Below are 15,368 nucleotides of genomic sequence, written 5' to 3' on the forward strand. Positions count from 1 at the left end.
TAGAATGGAAGGTGCAGAGGCGCAGAACAGCCTTGGGTGGCTCGGGTATGGAGCGAGAGCGAACCCCGGGGCAGGCAGCAGTGGCCAGGAGACTGCGCTAAGGGGCCCCTGGAGGCTGAGACACCAGAGCGGGCTGCGGTCGCACTTGCACTGTAGGAAGACCGTGCTGGGCACAGGGAGACTGGAGGAGGGCAAGGCCCCTGCCAGGGAGAACGGTTTGGAAGCTCTGGCAGTGATCTGAGGTGAGCTGAAGAGCCCTGGATTTAGGCAGTGCCATTTAGCCCCAGAACCAGCTTGTCATTTTACGGTTGAGACTGAGGCCTTGGCTCTTACTCATCCAGAGCCCTGCCGGGGCTCCAACCAGCCCTTCTCGTCTGCAGCAGTCACACACCACCCCTCCGTGAGGGTCAGCAGGGACTGCCTCCCTCCCCCAAGTGTCGTCTCAGTGCCTTGGCCTGACTGCAGCTTCTCACCTGCGGTCTTCAGGTGTTCGCTGAGCACCTGCTCTGTGCCATGCCTTGGGTTAGGTACTAGGAGTTATGCTCTCAGGGCAGTGATCCAGCTCTACCTCCTACCCTCAGAGGGAGATAGAGAGGGTTGGCGGCCAATGTAGCCCAACAGAACCCTGGGCACCAACACCTCCCAGGACCAGAGCCTCTCCCGGCCCCAGCGGAGGTGCCAGAGGCCTCCCTGCCCAGCAGCAGGGCCCACCTTGTCTTGCTGGGAGGGTCTGCAGGAGAACCGCAGGCAAGTCCCTCCCCTCCCTGGGCTCAGTTTCTTCATCTGTAAAATGGGGGTGAGGAGACCTCCCCTCCATCCTGCCCCTTGCAGATTGGTCGGGGGAAGCCATGAAATCTCACGTGCCCAGTCAGGACCCAGCACGGGGCCTTTCCTTTCTCCCCACCCCACACCCGGGGCCCAGCGTCCCTTCAGCATAAGTTCTCCCACTGCTGTGGCAGGTCCCCCAGGGAAAGCACAGCCAGAGAGCTGCTCTCCTGCAGCCTGGAAGCTCCAGTCCAGCCCCCTGCTGCTCCCAGCACCCCCTTCCGGGCTCCCCCGCACACCCCTCTGTCTGAAACACCCCTGCCATTATGAGGGCTCAGATCCATGGACTGGCAGGAACCCAGACCCTTGCCTGAATGAGCAGTCGCAGGCCCGGGCCGGCACACACACCGGGAGCCCCTGGCCCACACTCCCCAGCCGGCTCCTGTGGCCCTGTTCTCTTCCTGCCGGGCAGAGAAGCAGAGCTTGGGACACGTCCCACCCGTAACCGCCAGGGTCCTCTTCTGCCCCGAGCATCCGACTCCAGCCTCCCATGGCCGGAACATCTGAACGTTCATTGATCTCATCGATTTCTCAACCCAAAGCCATCGAGTGCTTTGAGGTGAAGAAAAAGGCTTTCCTTACCCACGGCAGATACCACGGCAGTGGCGCCACGCCGCCAAAGACCAAAGACCCCAAACCAGAAACGTTCTGTGGTCAGACAGGTATGGCAGGGCTCGGAGGCCCACCCAGCTCTGCAGCCCACTCATTCATGTGTGGGGCTGGAGGTGGCCGGATGGACACCCAGGAGAGCACCTACTTCCCTCTCGTTTGCCCTCATTCCTCACCCAGAAGGCCAGGGGGCAGGGACCAAGGCCTGAAGTGCTGGAACCCAAACCTGCTAACACTAAAAAAAAGCCTGAAATTTGCAAAACCAAGCACTGGAGTCCGGTCTGGGAGTATAACTTATTTTGTGTTAAACAAACTGATTGGTTATTAGATTGTTTAGAAGCAGATTGCTGAGAAGGTGAGAACCGAAGTGCCAGCTTGGCCTCAGAGCCCCAGCTAGAAACCCTGGGCAGCCCAGGTTCACACACACACCCGCCCAGGCCCACTGGCCCGGGGTCCCTCCCCAGGGCTGGCACCTGCTCACACTTATGGGCAGGTACAGACATAGCTGTACCCAGACACTGCTCCCAGGAACCAGGCTGCCTGATGATCCACAAGAGGAGAGCGCACAGCCCCTCACATCAAAGATGGGGTAGGGCCGGGTCTGCAGCCCCCGCCTCAGGCACTGCCCTCCAGGAGCTTGTGGGGCTGAAGGGCACCCCTCACCAAGGCACTGCGTGGAGCTGGCACATTGAGGACACACTTGGCCCTCACTCATGCAAGTGAGAGGGAGGAGAGGAGGTGGCAGGACAGAAGGGGAGGGAAGGCAAAGGGAGAAGAAAAGGGAGCGCTTAAAGGTAGTGCTGTTCTCCCAAGCTGAGCCGCCTGGGCCATGGGTGAGGCTCCTGAAGGAGGGCCGGGCTCCCCACAGCACCACGGGGGATGGAGGAACCATTAACAGACTTGTCCACCCAAGGGAGAAAAAGTACCCAGTTCAGAATGTTCTGGAGGTCTCCCACCCCTAACCCCCAAGGCAGAGAGGATGAAGGGAGTGGAGGGCCCCTCCCCAGATCTCCTTATCAGATGCCCTAAGTCACATTGAAAGATAGCTGGTGCCCAAGGCCCCTCTCCTATACAAGGACCCTGTGAGCCACCCCCTCGTTCTCAGCCTGCCCACCCCACCCCCTGAGAGTGTCCACACTGGGTGTCTTAGAGAACGGGGCAGGTGGTGCCCAGAACGGAGGGAAGCGGCCCAGCTACCATGATCTCACCAGAGGTGACAGCTCTGCCATCTCCTATGATAGCTGGCCGGCGACAGGGACAAAGTGATAGAAAAATCTGGACACCCAGTGTGAGAGCCCAGAGGCTTGTGAGGAGGGGTCTGGGAAGCAGTCGGAGAAAGTCATGTTAGAGAAATTAAGAGGGAAACAGCCTCCCAGCCTGCCGGCTCAGCTGGGCGGCCGCTCTTCCCGCAATGCAGCCCTAATTGAATTTCGCTGTTAACAATGGAAACACATTGGCTGCCGGCCTCTCTCTCCCTTTCTGATAAGCCAATGACCCGAGGGAAATTGGGGTCAGGAGGAGGAGAAATTGGAAGCAAACAGTCTTTTCTCACTGCTGGGGATGCTGGTTTTGGCTACAGACGGGGCAGGAGGAGGGTTGCTGCCCCCGCTCCTGAGTTGTCAGAGGGTCCTCAGCCTGCCTCAGGCCAGATATGGCAGAAGGTGGGGGGCTGAGTCCAGCCTGGAGCGGAGTCCCCCCAGCTCACCCTAGTTAGGCAGAGCGGGTCCTAGACCCCCAGCTCCCCCTCTGCTGGCTGCTCTCTCACCCTCTTCCAAAGTTTCTCCCTAGTGCATAGGCGCCCCAGCTCACCCTTCGGATGCAGACAGTCCCGGGTCCCCATGGCAAGTCACTTCCCTCTGCATTTCTGTCCAAGGGAGTGGATTAAGACGACATCCCCATCCCGGCACGTGGGAAACCCTAAGTCCCAGGGCGCTAGCATCATACTACATAATCACTGCAATTATATTGTTAATGACTGTTATTATATTATCACGTCAGGATCTATCTGCTAGCCCCCGAGGGAGGGGGCCAGATCCTTCCTCACCTCTTTTACCCACAGAGGTGCAGAGCTCAGCCTGTCTGCCCCACCCCTTCTGCCTGGAGTCTTTGGAGGTCAGACCCTCTGGCCCAAAGCTCTACGGCAGCCCCTTTATGGACATTTCTGTAAGTGACTCCGGGGAGTCAGGCCTCAGGTAACAAAGTATAATGAATGGAAGGTCTACCCTGCCTGCCCGGGGCCTTCAGGAGATAGAAATCAAGCGGCCCTTGGGCCCCCTGGAGTTTCCTCCAGGCTGGAGGTTGCCTTAAAACTTAAAATATAATAATAATAAAATTTAAAAAAAAAAAAACAAAGTCCACTCCCTTGCCAGTCAGCGAGAGTGGCTGAGGGTGGCGCAGGAACCCACACACAGAAGCTCAGGGTGGCCCTGGGGCTCTGACTACCTGCCCCTCCCGCCCCCAGGGCTGCCCACCATGGAGGTCCGCATTAATGTCTCAAGGCAGCAGGTCGAGAAGGTGTTCGGGCTGGAGGAATACTGGTGCCAGTGCGTGGCATGGAGCTCCTCGGGCACCACCAAGAGTCAGAAGGCCTACATCCGCATAGCCTGTGAGTCTAGGGCTGGGCCCTGGGGGAGGGCGCACGGCGGGAGGGTGTCACCAGGAGAGGGGACAGTAGGCTTCCTGGAAGAGGCGGTCCGGTCAGAAAACCTCACAGCCCTGCCTGGATGAGTGGATAAAGTGCCTGTGGACACGGCCCAGCCACCCCATGGCCCCCTGGCCACCTGGCACTTCCTCTGCCATGTGCCACGGCCCCTGCAGGACAAGGGACACAGCCAGCCAGGCTGAGCCTGTGCGAGGCCCTCAGACAGGAGGACACTCTCATTCCTCTTCTAGATTTGCGCAAGAACTTCGAGCAGGAGCCGCTGGCCAAGGAGGTGTCCCTGGAGCAGGGCATCGTGCTGCCCTGCCGTCCACCGGAGGGCATCCCTCCAGCCGAGGTGAGGGCTCCTCTAGTGCCCACGTCTGGACCTGGGCTCCTGCCTGGTCACCCTGGCAGGGGCCACTCTGGGCAGGGCCAGCATGGGCTGGCAGTACATGGCAGGGCTCCCTCCCCTAGGTGGAGTGGCTCCGGAACGAGGACCTGGTGGACCCGTCCCTGGACCCCAATGTATACATCACGCGGGAGCACAGCCTGGTGGTGCGACAGGCCCGCCTTGCTGACACGGCCAACTACACCTGCGTGGCCAAGAACATCGTGGCACGTCGCCGCAGCGCCTCCGCTGCTGTCATCGTCTACGGTGGGCCCCGGGACTCCCTGGTCACAGGGAGAGGCACTGCGGTGCCCCTGGGCAGTGACATGTGGCTGGTGGGGTGAAGAGAGGCCATGAGGCCAAAGCCAGGTGGACCAGATCGTGCCTGACTAGGCAGGATAAGCAAAGGGCTCTCTGTGACTGCTGGGGGCCCAGGGGCATGTCTGGGCAAAGGAGTGGGACAGATTGGAGGTCCTTTGTGGGCAGCGGGCATTGTGCAGAAGGAGATGAGGGACAGGATGGGAATCTAGGAAAGGTGACAGGCTGTCCCCACTCCTGAGTCTCCAAGGGGGGAATCAGAAGCCACACAGTCCAGGCACCCCCAGGAGCCAGCAGAGGGAGGGTGCGGGAGTCACCCCAGGAGAGGCTGGGGTCTGGGCTGCAGGAGTGTGTGAGCCGCGGTTCAGCCTGGCTACCCCGAGTGCCCCCTGGGAGAAGGGAAGACTGTGGCGTGCGTGCTGCAGGGCCCGGGGGCCAGCAGGCACGAGCATGGCCTCCCCCAGGCCTTCTCTCCCAGCTCAGCCACAGCCCACCCGTGTCCAGCTCACAGCCCCTCTGCCCTCACGCCCCGTCCCCTGGGCCAGTGTATCTGAGGACGCCCCCGCTCCCTGACCCCAGTCCTTCTCTGTCCGGCCAGTGAACGGTGGGTGGTCGACGTGGACCGAGTGGTCCGTCTGCAGCGCCAGCTGTGGGCGCGGCTGGCAGAAACGGAGCCGGAGCTGCACCAACCCGGCGCCTCTCAACGGGGGCGCTTTCTGTGAGGGGCAGAATGTCCAGAAAACAGCCTGCGCCACCCTGTGCCCAGGTACCAGCGGCCACCGCCTCCCGCATCGTTCCTCACCACGCCATCTCCGTGCCCTGGCTCCATCGCGCCCACCAGCCTGCCCCCCCATGGCTCCATCCCACCCACCCGCCACGCAGGGCCAGGCTCAGTCTGAGGCGGGGATCGGGGTGCGGTGTATGGTTGGAGTCAGGGCTCGATCTGTGTCCAATGTCAGGGCTCAACATAGGGTGTAAGTCACAGGGTGTGAGGTACAGTTTGACAGGGTCTAGGGCTCAGCCCAGGGCTGCAGAGTCCACTTGTCCCTGGGTTCAGAAGGGTCAACGTGTGACGAGAGAGCCCTCGCTGCCCCAGGGCCAGGACAGCCTCCCTGGTGTGGAGAGAGCCAAGCAGCCCCTGGCGTCATCCGCGCCTCCCTGTCATTAGCATGCGTCATCAAGGCCAGCTGGACACTAGAGGGCGTGCATCGTGGGCCTGGCCCTGGCTTTGCACCCAAATCCAGGCTGCCTTGCACTGCCTGGTCTGGTTGCCCAGAGGGGCCACACTGGCAGACTGCCGGGGTGGGCTCCCAGGCTGACCGCACCGTCTCCTCTCTGCTTGTCTCTCATCTAGTGGACGGCAGCTGGAGCCCGTGGAGCAAGTGGTCGGCCTGTGGGCTGGACTGCACCCACTGGCGGAGCCGTGAGTGCTCTGACCCAGCACCCCGCAACGGAGGGGAGGAGTGCCAGGGCACTGACCTGGACACCCGCAACTGTACCAGTGACCTCTGTGTACACAGTGAGTCCTCTCTGCCCTGAGGTCCTCTTCTGTTTGCCTGGATTGGCCTTGCCCAGCCCTGGGGAGGTGGGGGCTGAGGGAGCTATTCTCCTGCCAAAGGCTGTAGCCTCTCCAGGCTCAGGACCCACTGAGATCCCCCTCATCCTTAGCATACCTGCACATGGGCCCAGGCGCGCCCCACCACCTCCCATGCCTCCTGAGACGGGCACAGATTTGAACCTTGATTCATGCACACCCATTGCCCACACTTACCCAACACCACAGCTTCACATCTGCCCACACTCACCAACACCACAGCTTCACATCTGCCCACGCTCACCCCACACCACAGCTTCCCATCTGCCCACGCTCACCCCACACCACAGCTTCCCATCTGCCCACGCTCACCCCACACCACAGCTTCCCATCTGCCCACACTCGCCCAACACCACAGCTTCCCATCTGCCCACGCTCGCCCCACACCACAGCTTCCCATCTGCCCACACTCGCCCCACACCACAGCTTCCCATCTGCCCACACTCGCCCCACACCACAGCTTCCCATCTGCCCACACTCGCCCCACACCACAGCTTCCCATCTGCCCACACTCGCCCCACACCACAGCTTCCCATCTGCCCACGCTCACCAACACCACAGCTTCCCATCTGCCCACACTCGCCCCAACACCACAGCTTCCCATCTGCCCACGCTCACCAACACCACAGCTTCACATCTGCCCACACTCACCAACACCACAGCTTCCCATCTGCCCACACCTGCCCCAACACCACAGCTTCCCATCTGCCCACACTCGCCCCACACCACAGCTTCCCATCTGCCCACACTCGCCCCACACCACAGCTTCCCATCTGCCCACACTCGCCCCACACCACAGCTTCCCATCTGCCCACACTCGCCCCACACCACAGCTTCCCATCTGCCCACGCTCACCAACACCACAGCTTCCCATCTGCCCACACTCGCCCCAACACCACAGCTTCCCATCTGCCCACGCTCACCAACACCACAGCTTCACATCTGCCCACACTCACCAACACCACAGCTTCCCATCTGCCCACACCTGCCCCAACACCACAGCTTCCCATCTGCCCACACTCGCCCCACACCACAGCTTCCCATCTGCCCACACTCGCCCCACACCACAGCTTCCCATCTGCCCACACTCACCAACACCACAGCTTCACATCTGCCCACACCTGCCCCAACACCACAGCTTCCCATCTGCCCACACTCGCCCAACACCACAGCTTCACATCTGCCCACACTCACCAACACCACAGCTTCCCATCTGCCCACACTCGCCCCAACACCACAGCTTCCCATCTGCCCACACTCGCCCAACACCACAGCTTCCCATCTGCCCACACTCGCCCCAACACCACAGCTTCCCATCTGCCCACACTCGCCCCAACACCACAGCTTCCCATCTGCCCACACTCGCCCCAGCACCACAGCTTCCCATCTGTCCACACTCACCAACACCACAGCTTCCCATCTGCCCACACTCACCAACACCACAGCTTCACATCTGCCCACACTCACCCCACACCACAGCTTCCCATCTGCCCACACTCACCCCACACCACAGCCTCACATCTGCCCACACTCGCCCCACACCACAGCTTCCCATCTGCCCACACTCGCCCCACACCACAGCTTCCCATCTGCCCACACTCACCAACACCACAGCTTCACATCTGCCCACACCTGCCCCAACACCACAGCTTCCCATCTGCCCACACTCGCCCAACACCACAGCTTCACATCTGCCCACACTCACCAACACCACAGCTTCCCATCTGTCCACGCTCACCAACACCACAGCTTCACATCTGCCCACACTCACCAACACCACAGCTTCCCATCTGCCCACACTCGCCCCAACACCACAGCTTCCCATCTGCCCACACTCGCCCAACACCACAGCTTCCCATCTGCCCACACTCGCCCAACACCACAGCTTCCCATCTGCCCACACTCGCCCCAACACCACAGCTTCCCATCTGCCCACACTCGCCCAACACCACAGCTTCCCATCTGCCCACACTCGCCCCAACACCACAGCTTCCCATCTGTCCACGCTCACCAACACCACAGCTTCCCATCTGCCCACACTCACCAACACCACAGCTTCACATCTGCCCACACTCACCCCACACCACAGCTTCCCATCTGCCCACACTCACCCCACACCACAGCTTCACATCTGCCCACACTCACCAACACCACAGCTTCCCATCTGCCCACACCTGCCCCAACACCACAGCTTCCCATCTGCCCACACTCGCCCCAACACCACAGCTTCCCATCTGCCCACACTCACCAACACCACAGCTTCCCATCTGCCCACACCTGCCCCAACACCACAGCTTCCCATCTGCCCACACTCACCCAACACCACAGCTTCCCATCTGCCCACACTCACCCAACACCACAGCTTCCCATCTGCCCACACCTGCCCCAACACCACAGTTTCCCATCTGCCCACACTCACCCAACACCACAGCTTCCCATCTGCCCACACTCACCAACACCACAGCTTCACATCTGCCCACACTCACCCCACACCACAGCTTCCCATCTGCCCACACTCACCCAACACCACAGCTTCCCATCTGCCCACACTCACCAACACCACAGCTTCCCATCTGCCCACACTCGCCCAACACCACAGCTTCCCATCTGCCTGGTCCCCCAAGTGCACATACAGGTCCTGTGGGAATGCCGGGCTTGTGAGGGCTGTTAATTACAAGGCCATAACTAACAATTAAAGATCTCTGTTGGATTTTTTTTTTTCCTCTAGAACATACCCTCCCCCATTCTTTCAATTAAAAACCTAATTATCTGTGTCAATTCCTTTCTGATGGACATTTCTTCCATTTATGCAAAACCCTTCTAAAATCAATATAGCTTCCTCCAAGCAGTCAATCACCCCCTCCCCAGACCTGCCCCAGGCCTTGGGGAGGCAGACAGAGAGAAGGGCCCCCAAACCCCTGCTCCTGGTCTAGGCACTGACCTGGAACCACACAGGAGGCAGACCCTGTGCTCTGGGGATCCCAGGAGTTCACCCCCAGCCCAAGCTGCCCTTGTCCCAGAAGAGCAGGCAGCAGGTTCAACCTAGCAGCCAGGCACCAGGTTATCCGCTCTGGGGAAGTAGCTCTTCCCCTCCTGCATCCTCCAGGCAGCAGACTCAGCTGGGATCTCAAGCCCACGAGGAATGTGATTTGCTCAGAGTCACACAGCACAGTAATGGCAAATACAGGGCTGGGATGCACACGCACGGACTCCATGCTCCCTGCCACAAGCGTCTGCTCCCTAGCTAGTGCAGATGCCCCGGGGTGCAGACCTCATCCTCCTGGGGTGCAGACCACTGACCTCTCCTTCCCAGACTCCTACACCCCTGCCCCCACCAAGGCCATGCTGTCTCCCGCAGCTGCTTCTGGCCCTGAGGACGTGGCCCTCTATGTGGGCCTCATCGCCGTGGCCGTCTGCCTGGTCCTGCTGCTGCTTGTCCTCATCCTCGTTTATTGCCGGAAGAAGGAGGGGCTGGACTCAGATGTGGCTGACTCGTCCATTCTCACCTCAGGCTTCCAGCCCGTCAGCATCAAGCCCAGCAAAGCAGGTGAGGGGCCCCGTGCCCCCAGCACTCCTGCCCCAGCTCCCACGCCAAGGGCTGCTGGGGCAGGGATGCCCTAGGTGCCATTGCCTGAGTCTGTCTTTATCCTGCAGACAACCCCCATCTGCTCACCATCCAGCCGGACCTCAGCACCACCACCACCACCTACCAGGGCAGTCTCTGTCCCCGGCAGGATGGGCCCAGCCCCAAGTTCCAGCTCACCAATGGGCACCTGCTCAGCCCCCTGGGTGGCGGCCGCCACACACTGCACCACAGCTCTCCCACCTCTGAGGCCGAGGAGTTCGTCTCCCGCCTCTCCACCCAGAACTACTTCCGCTCCCTGCCCCGAGGCACCAGCAACATGACCTATGGGACCTTCAACTTCCTCGGGGGCCGGCTGATGATCCCTAATACAGGTAGGAAGGACCCCAGGGGGCTCTGAGAGCTCCACTTCCCTCCTGGAGGAGGACGGGACAGCCGGACGTTCCTCTCGTGCCCCTCGGTGTCCCGTGACAGATCAGCAAGGAAAGGGGGTGGAGTTTTGGGGAGAACCCAGTCTTGGCTGGCACCGAGGCCGTGGCCAGAGCTGTCTTCCTCTTGTTGCCTGTGGGCACAAGGTAATTGTCCATTCATTTACACAGCCAAGCAGCCTACTTGTTCCAGTCTCCATGTGGGGCCCTGGGCCCAGAGGTAGGGCAAGCCCCGGCCCCAAGGAGCTTGCAACTGAGCAGGGAGACAACCAAGGGCAAACAGATGAGCACGGGCCTGGGCAGAGGCCATCCTGGAGTCCCCACTGCATCCTGGCTTCCACCCACCCCAGCACCGAAACCCTCTGAAGAACTCTTTCCATGGCTGCCTTGCAAGAAGTGGCTGCAGCCTCTGGCATGGCTGGCCACTCCCACCCGAAATTCCCAAGTCCCTCAGCTTAGATGACCCCATGCGCTCCTGGTTTGCTTGCCCCTCTCCAGCTGCCTGTTCCATAAATGTAGGTGTGCCTCCGAGCTCCCTCCCAGTGCCCTTCTCCCCGAGCGGCCTCGCCCACTCCATGGCTTTAATCGCCGTGTCTGTGCAGATAACTCCCACTCCCCCATCCTTAGCCTGCAGTTCTCCCGGGCGACAGAACTGTACACCCAGCTGCCTCCTGGCCAGCTCCATCTGGATGTCTCACATCACCTCAGACTCCTGGTGCCTAAAACAGAACCGTCTCCCACCCTCCCCCAGAGCCTCCCCATTCCTGGCTTCCCCCAGTTCACGGATCGTCTAGTTGCTCAAGCCGGAAACTTGGGGTCACCTTGACCTGCTGCTCGTCCTCTCTTGCCCCCCGCCAGCTTCAGTCCCACGCCAGTCCCTCCTCAATAGCTCCTGCCACCTCCTGCTCTTGTCCTCCCTTGCTGCCTCTCCTGACACGGGCCACCAAACCCCTTACCTGGTTCCTTGCTGTAAAACTTCACCAAATGAAGCCAGAGTTGATCATGACCCTCTCGTGCTCGAATCCCTTCTGGGCTCCCCTCTGCCCCCTGCAAAGCCCACATGATACCACAGAGAAGACCTGTCCCCTGCAGGCCAGCTGCTTCAGCCTCTTCCCTCACACACATCGTCCCGCACACGGCAGCCACCATGGACTCAACATCCCCGACACACGGTGCTGCCCTCTGCATGCACCGACCCCCTGCCCCTCCCACCAGCTCAGCTGGGACTTCTCTTTTGGGTCCCCGCCTGACAGCTCTTGCCGTCTGTGCCTCACGTCCACACGGATGATAACGAACCCCTCATGGGGCTGTTGGGATGACGAGGTGAGACGGCATCTGTCAGCTCTTACAGAGACGCAGGCGAACAGTGGGGCCCGGCAGCCCTTGCTCTTCGCTCCCCAGGCCGGGGGGTGGCTGCCACTTCCCCCGCATCCTGTGCTGTGGTTGACTTGTCCTTCTCCCCTGCTGGGCTAAGAACTTCATGAGAGTGGGGTCTGTGGTTTTCCTTCGCCGTCCTGAGTACCCAGCATTAGGAGTTGATGAATGAGGATGTAAGTGCGTGTACCTTCCCCATGGAGAGCCTTCCTGCGAGGATGTCTGGCATTGTCACCAACACTACAGCTGGGACCGCGGGGCAGTGCAGGCCAGTGAAGGGAGCAGTGGCTGTGACTCTGCCCTCTCCGGTGAAACGGTGATACCAGCCCAGCCCTGCTCTGCGCTGCCCACGAGGGAGTGTGCATTTGCTTTTGGACTTGGTGGGGTAAAGTCATGGAATTCCTCTCCCTCCCCATGTCCTGAGCTGGGAGCCCCTCCTCATGTAAGGGCTCCCTGTCTGGGGGAGTCCCTGCTCACCACCTCTAGAGGGACTCCCTGGCCCCCGTCTTTGCCGGATCCTGTCCCACCATCTCCCTGTTGAACCACTCCCCTCTCCACTCACACGCTGATCCTGCTCCTCCAAGACGTTGGAGCAGAGGCAAGCCAGCCGACGGGAGGGCATCCAGCCCAGGAGATAGGTTATTCAAGACCCACCCCACCTGCAGGGACCATGGCATGGCAGAGAGTAGAAGGAGCAAGGGAGAGGGGAGCTGGAGCAGGACGGGAGGGCAGTGGGGGCTCAGGCAGTGGTTCCAGAACCACCAACTTTGTAGCACTGGCTGGGCTAGAGAGGCAGTGGGGGCCAGAGGCAAAGGCCCTTCAATGCCAGGCCAGGGAGCTGGACTTCATCCGGGGGCAGGGAAGGTTTTAAGCAAGGGATACCCTGGTCCCCTCCAGTGCCTTTCAGGGGACAAGGGAGGTCGGTACCGCATACCTTCTGTCCCCAAGTTTTCTGTGCCTGAGCTAGCCAGGCATGCTTTCCCCACCTGGGTTCCCTCAGTTGCTCATGGGGTGCCCCTGACTCAGCTTCATGCCTGTGGGGGTGGTTGGTCAGCACGGCAGTCTTTGAGGCCCCTCTGTCCCCAGGCCGGGCTGGCACCAGTCAGTCCTCACAGGAAGGCTCCTGGAGGGGCTGTGTGGTGGGGTGTTGGGTGCTTTGGCAGTGGGTAAGCCCTGGCCCTCTTCCTGCCGTTCCAGGAATCAGCCTCCTCATCCCCCCAGATGCCATACCCCGAGGGAAGATCTATGAGATCTACCTCACGCTGCACAAGCCGGAAGACGTGAGGTGTGGCCGCGGGCCCTGTTGCCGGGGGTGGGAGGGACCTGCCTGCTGCCTTCGGTCCCCAGGAAGCCCCCTGCCCACCCACTGTTGTGCCTGGCCCGAGGCGGCGGGGGAAAGAGCTATGCCTAAGCCCCACGTGGTCCTGCAGCCCAAGCCCCTGGCCCCTGGGATGCTGCTGCCCTGCCCTTGGCCTAGCCCTCAGGACCCAGGATGGGCCACTGACACCTTTCCCTCCCCACCCATATTTCCCCACTTGAGGTTGCCCCTAGCTGGCTGTCAGACCCTGCTGAGTCCCATCGTTAGCTGTGGACCCCCTGGCGTCCTGCTCACCCGGCCAGTCATCCTGGCTATGGACCACTGTGGGGAGCCCAGCCCTGACAGCTGGAGCCTGCGCCTCAAAAAGCAGTCGTGCGAGGGCAGCTGGGAGGTGAGCAGGGAACTGACCCGGGCTCCAGAAGGGAACGTGGGCTAACTGCACGCTCCACCCGGCCTTCCACCGCTGGGTGGTCCTGAGCCGCACCCCCACCCCTCCCCAGTCTCCGGCCACTTCTTGAAGCCACAGCTGGCCCTAGGGCTCTGAGGCTGGGCCGAATTGACCCACTGACCCCTGCCCACAGGATGTGCTGCACCTGGGCGAGGAGGCGCCCTCCCACCTCTACTACTGCCAGCTGGAGGCCAGTGCCTGCTACGTCTTCACCGAGCAGCTGGGCCGCTTTGCCCTGGTGGGAGAGGCCCTCAGCGTGGCTGCCGCCAAGCGCCTCAAGCTGCTTCTGTTTGCGCCGGTGGCCTGCACCTCCCTCGAGTACAACATCCGGGTCTACTGCCTGCATGACACCCACGATGCACTCAAGGTATCTCCCGCCCCTCACCCCCCGCCGCTGGGAGGCCGAGCTATGCCTGGCCCTGTGGACTGCCTGCCTTGGGCGCAGTGGGGAGGGGCCTGGGCTGACCACCTGGGGCACTGCAGGAGGTGGTGCAGCTGGAGAAGCAGCTGGGGGGACAGCTGATCCAGGAGCCACGGGTCCTGCACTTCAAGGACAGTTACCACAACCTGCGCCTATCCATCCACGATGTGCCCAGCTCCCTGTGGAAGAGTAAGCTCCTTGTCAGCTACCAGGTGAGGGCCAGGGCCGTGGCCAGCGCACAAGAGGCCTGGAGCTTGGGCTCACCTGACACCTCCTCTCTGCATCCCCATCAGGAGATCCCCTTTTATCACATCTGGAATGGCACGCAGCGGTACTTGCACTGCACCTTCACCCTGGAGCGTGTCAGCCCCAGCACTAGTGACCTGGCCTGCAAGCTGTGGGTGTGGCAGGTGGAGGGCGACGGGCAGAGCTTCAGCATCAACTTCAACATCACCAAGGTGGACGGGAGGGGCTGCCGCACCGCCGTGACGTGCTCCCACTACCAACTCCCCACCAGCCCCCAAAACGCTCCTGCCCTGCCTGCCCTGCCACCCACTCTCCCTCCCGCCTGTCCCCAGGCCCACCTCCTCCTAGAAACCCCTTGGCAGCTTCCTCCCAGACTCAGAGACAGGGAGGCACAGGTGCAAATGGGACTTGGGGAGGGGAGTGCAGGGGACATGGGAGCAGCAGGAGGGGAGACCCTGGAGGGCTTCCCTGAGGAGGGGCTTTGTACTGGGCCCCAAAGAATGAGCCAGTTTGGCTGCGGCATTAAGGGGAAGAGCATTTCTGGCGGTGAGAGCTGGGCAGGGGGGACTCAGGCCGTGAAGAGAGCTGTGTGTGTTGAGTGTCAGCAGAGGCTGGGCAGAGTGACTTGGAGGGGAGAAGGGCGGAGAGGGAGGGAGGCCACAGAGGGCTCCTCTGCTCTCTGGCTATGTGGCTTTGGGCAGGTCGCTGCACCTCCGAGCCCCAGTAAGAAGGGCCTTGGCACATGGGAGGTGCCCAGGAAGTACCAGTGCTCATGCCGCCCCCATGCTCTGGGGGAGTCTGGGAGCTCCCCCAGCAGGAGGTGGCGGTGGACCCGGGCCTGGGGAAAGTTCTAACAGGCACCTCTTTCCCTCCCACCTCCAGGACACAAGGTTTGCTGAGCTGCTGGCTCTGGAGAGTGAAGCGGGGGTCCCAGCCCTGGTGGGCCCCAGTGCCTTCAAGATCCCCTTCCTCATTCGGCAGAAGATAATTTCCAGCCTGGACCCACCCTGTAGGCGGGGTGCCGACTGGCGGACTCTGGCCCAGAAACTCCACCTGGACAGGTGGGCGGGAGAGGGGCAGAGAGGGCCTGCGCAGGCCACCGACAGTCCTGCCCGGCGGCGGGGTGGGTGAGGTGGACAGGAGGCCCTGTGGGGCCTGTGCCGCATCTACTAGTG

At 61.5% G+C, this 15,368-nt stretch overlaps 1 protein-coding gene across 5 annotated transcripts in view, besides 3 other annotated features; it reads left to right on the plus strand.

The window, feature by feature from the left end:
• The window catches only part of UNC5A (unc-5 netrin receptor A), a 70,340-nt gene that overhangs the window by 53,676 nt on the left and 1,296 nt on the right, over positions 1-15,368 (plus strand). The window contains exons 3-15 of one of the 5 annotated variants that reach the window (XM_006714928.2): positions 3,896-4,039; positions 4,327-4,430; positions 4,550-4,730; positions 5,380-5,547; positions 6,136-6,300; positions 9,734-9,922; positions 10,030-10,332; positions 12,958-13,045; positions 13,301-13,469; positions 13,660-13,893; positions 14,010-14,159; positions 14,241-14,405; positions 15,076-15,254. In XM_006714928.2, the coding sequence (XP_006714991.1) occupies positions 3,896-4,039; positions 4,327-4,430; positions 4,550-4,730; positions 5,380-5,547; positions 6,136-6,300; positions 9,734-9,922; positions 10,030-10,332; positions 12,958-13,045; positions 13,301-13,469; positions 13,660-13,893; positions 14,010-14,159; positions 14,241-14,405; positions 15,076-15,254 (2,239 nt within the window). The other 4 variants (NM_133369.3, XM_011534686.2, XM_006714927.2 and 1 more) reach the window with 4 other exon arrangements.
• Positions 4,429-5,176: an enhancer, noted in NCBI's record as "H3K27ac-H3K4me1 hESC enhancer chr5:176295664-176296411 (GRCh37/hg19 assembly coordinates)". NCBI's record gives its function as "activates a minimal SCP1, AML or CMV promoter by ChIP-STARR-seq in primed H9 embryonic stem cells {active_cell/tissue: H9 hESC(primed)}" and the evidence as "EXISTENCE:reporter gene assay evidence [ECO:0000049][PMID:30033119]".
• Positions 8,320-8,501: a silencer, noted in NCBI's record as "fragment chr5:176299555-176299736 (GRCh37/hg19 assembly coordinates)". NCBI's record gives its function as "represses an EF-1alpha promoter that drives an FKBP-Casp9 reporter gene in an ReSE screen in HepG2 liver carcinoma cells {active_cell/tissue: HepG2}" and the evidence as "EXISTENCE:reporter gene assay evidence [ECO:0000049][PMID:32094911]".
• Positions 11,238-12,161: an enhancer, noted in NCBI's record as "H3K4me1 hESC enhancer chr5:176302473-176303396 (GRCh37/hg19 assembly coordinates)". NCBI's record gives its function as "activates a minimal SCP1, AML or CMV promoter by ChIP-STARR-seq in primed H9 embryonic stem cells {active_cell/tissue: H9 hESC(primed)}" and the evidence as "EXISTENCE:reporter gene assay evidence [ECO:0000049][PMID:30033119]".

The sequence above is a fragment of the Homo sapiens genome, chromosome 5 (genome assembly GCF_000001405.40).
Source record: "Homo sapiens chromosome 5, GRCh38.p14 Primary Assembly".
Lineage (NCBI taxonomy): Eukaryota > Metazoa > Chordata > Mammalia > Primates > Hominidae > Homo > Homo sapiens.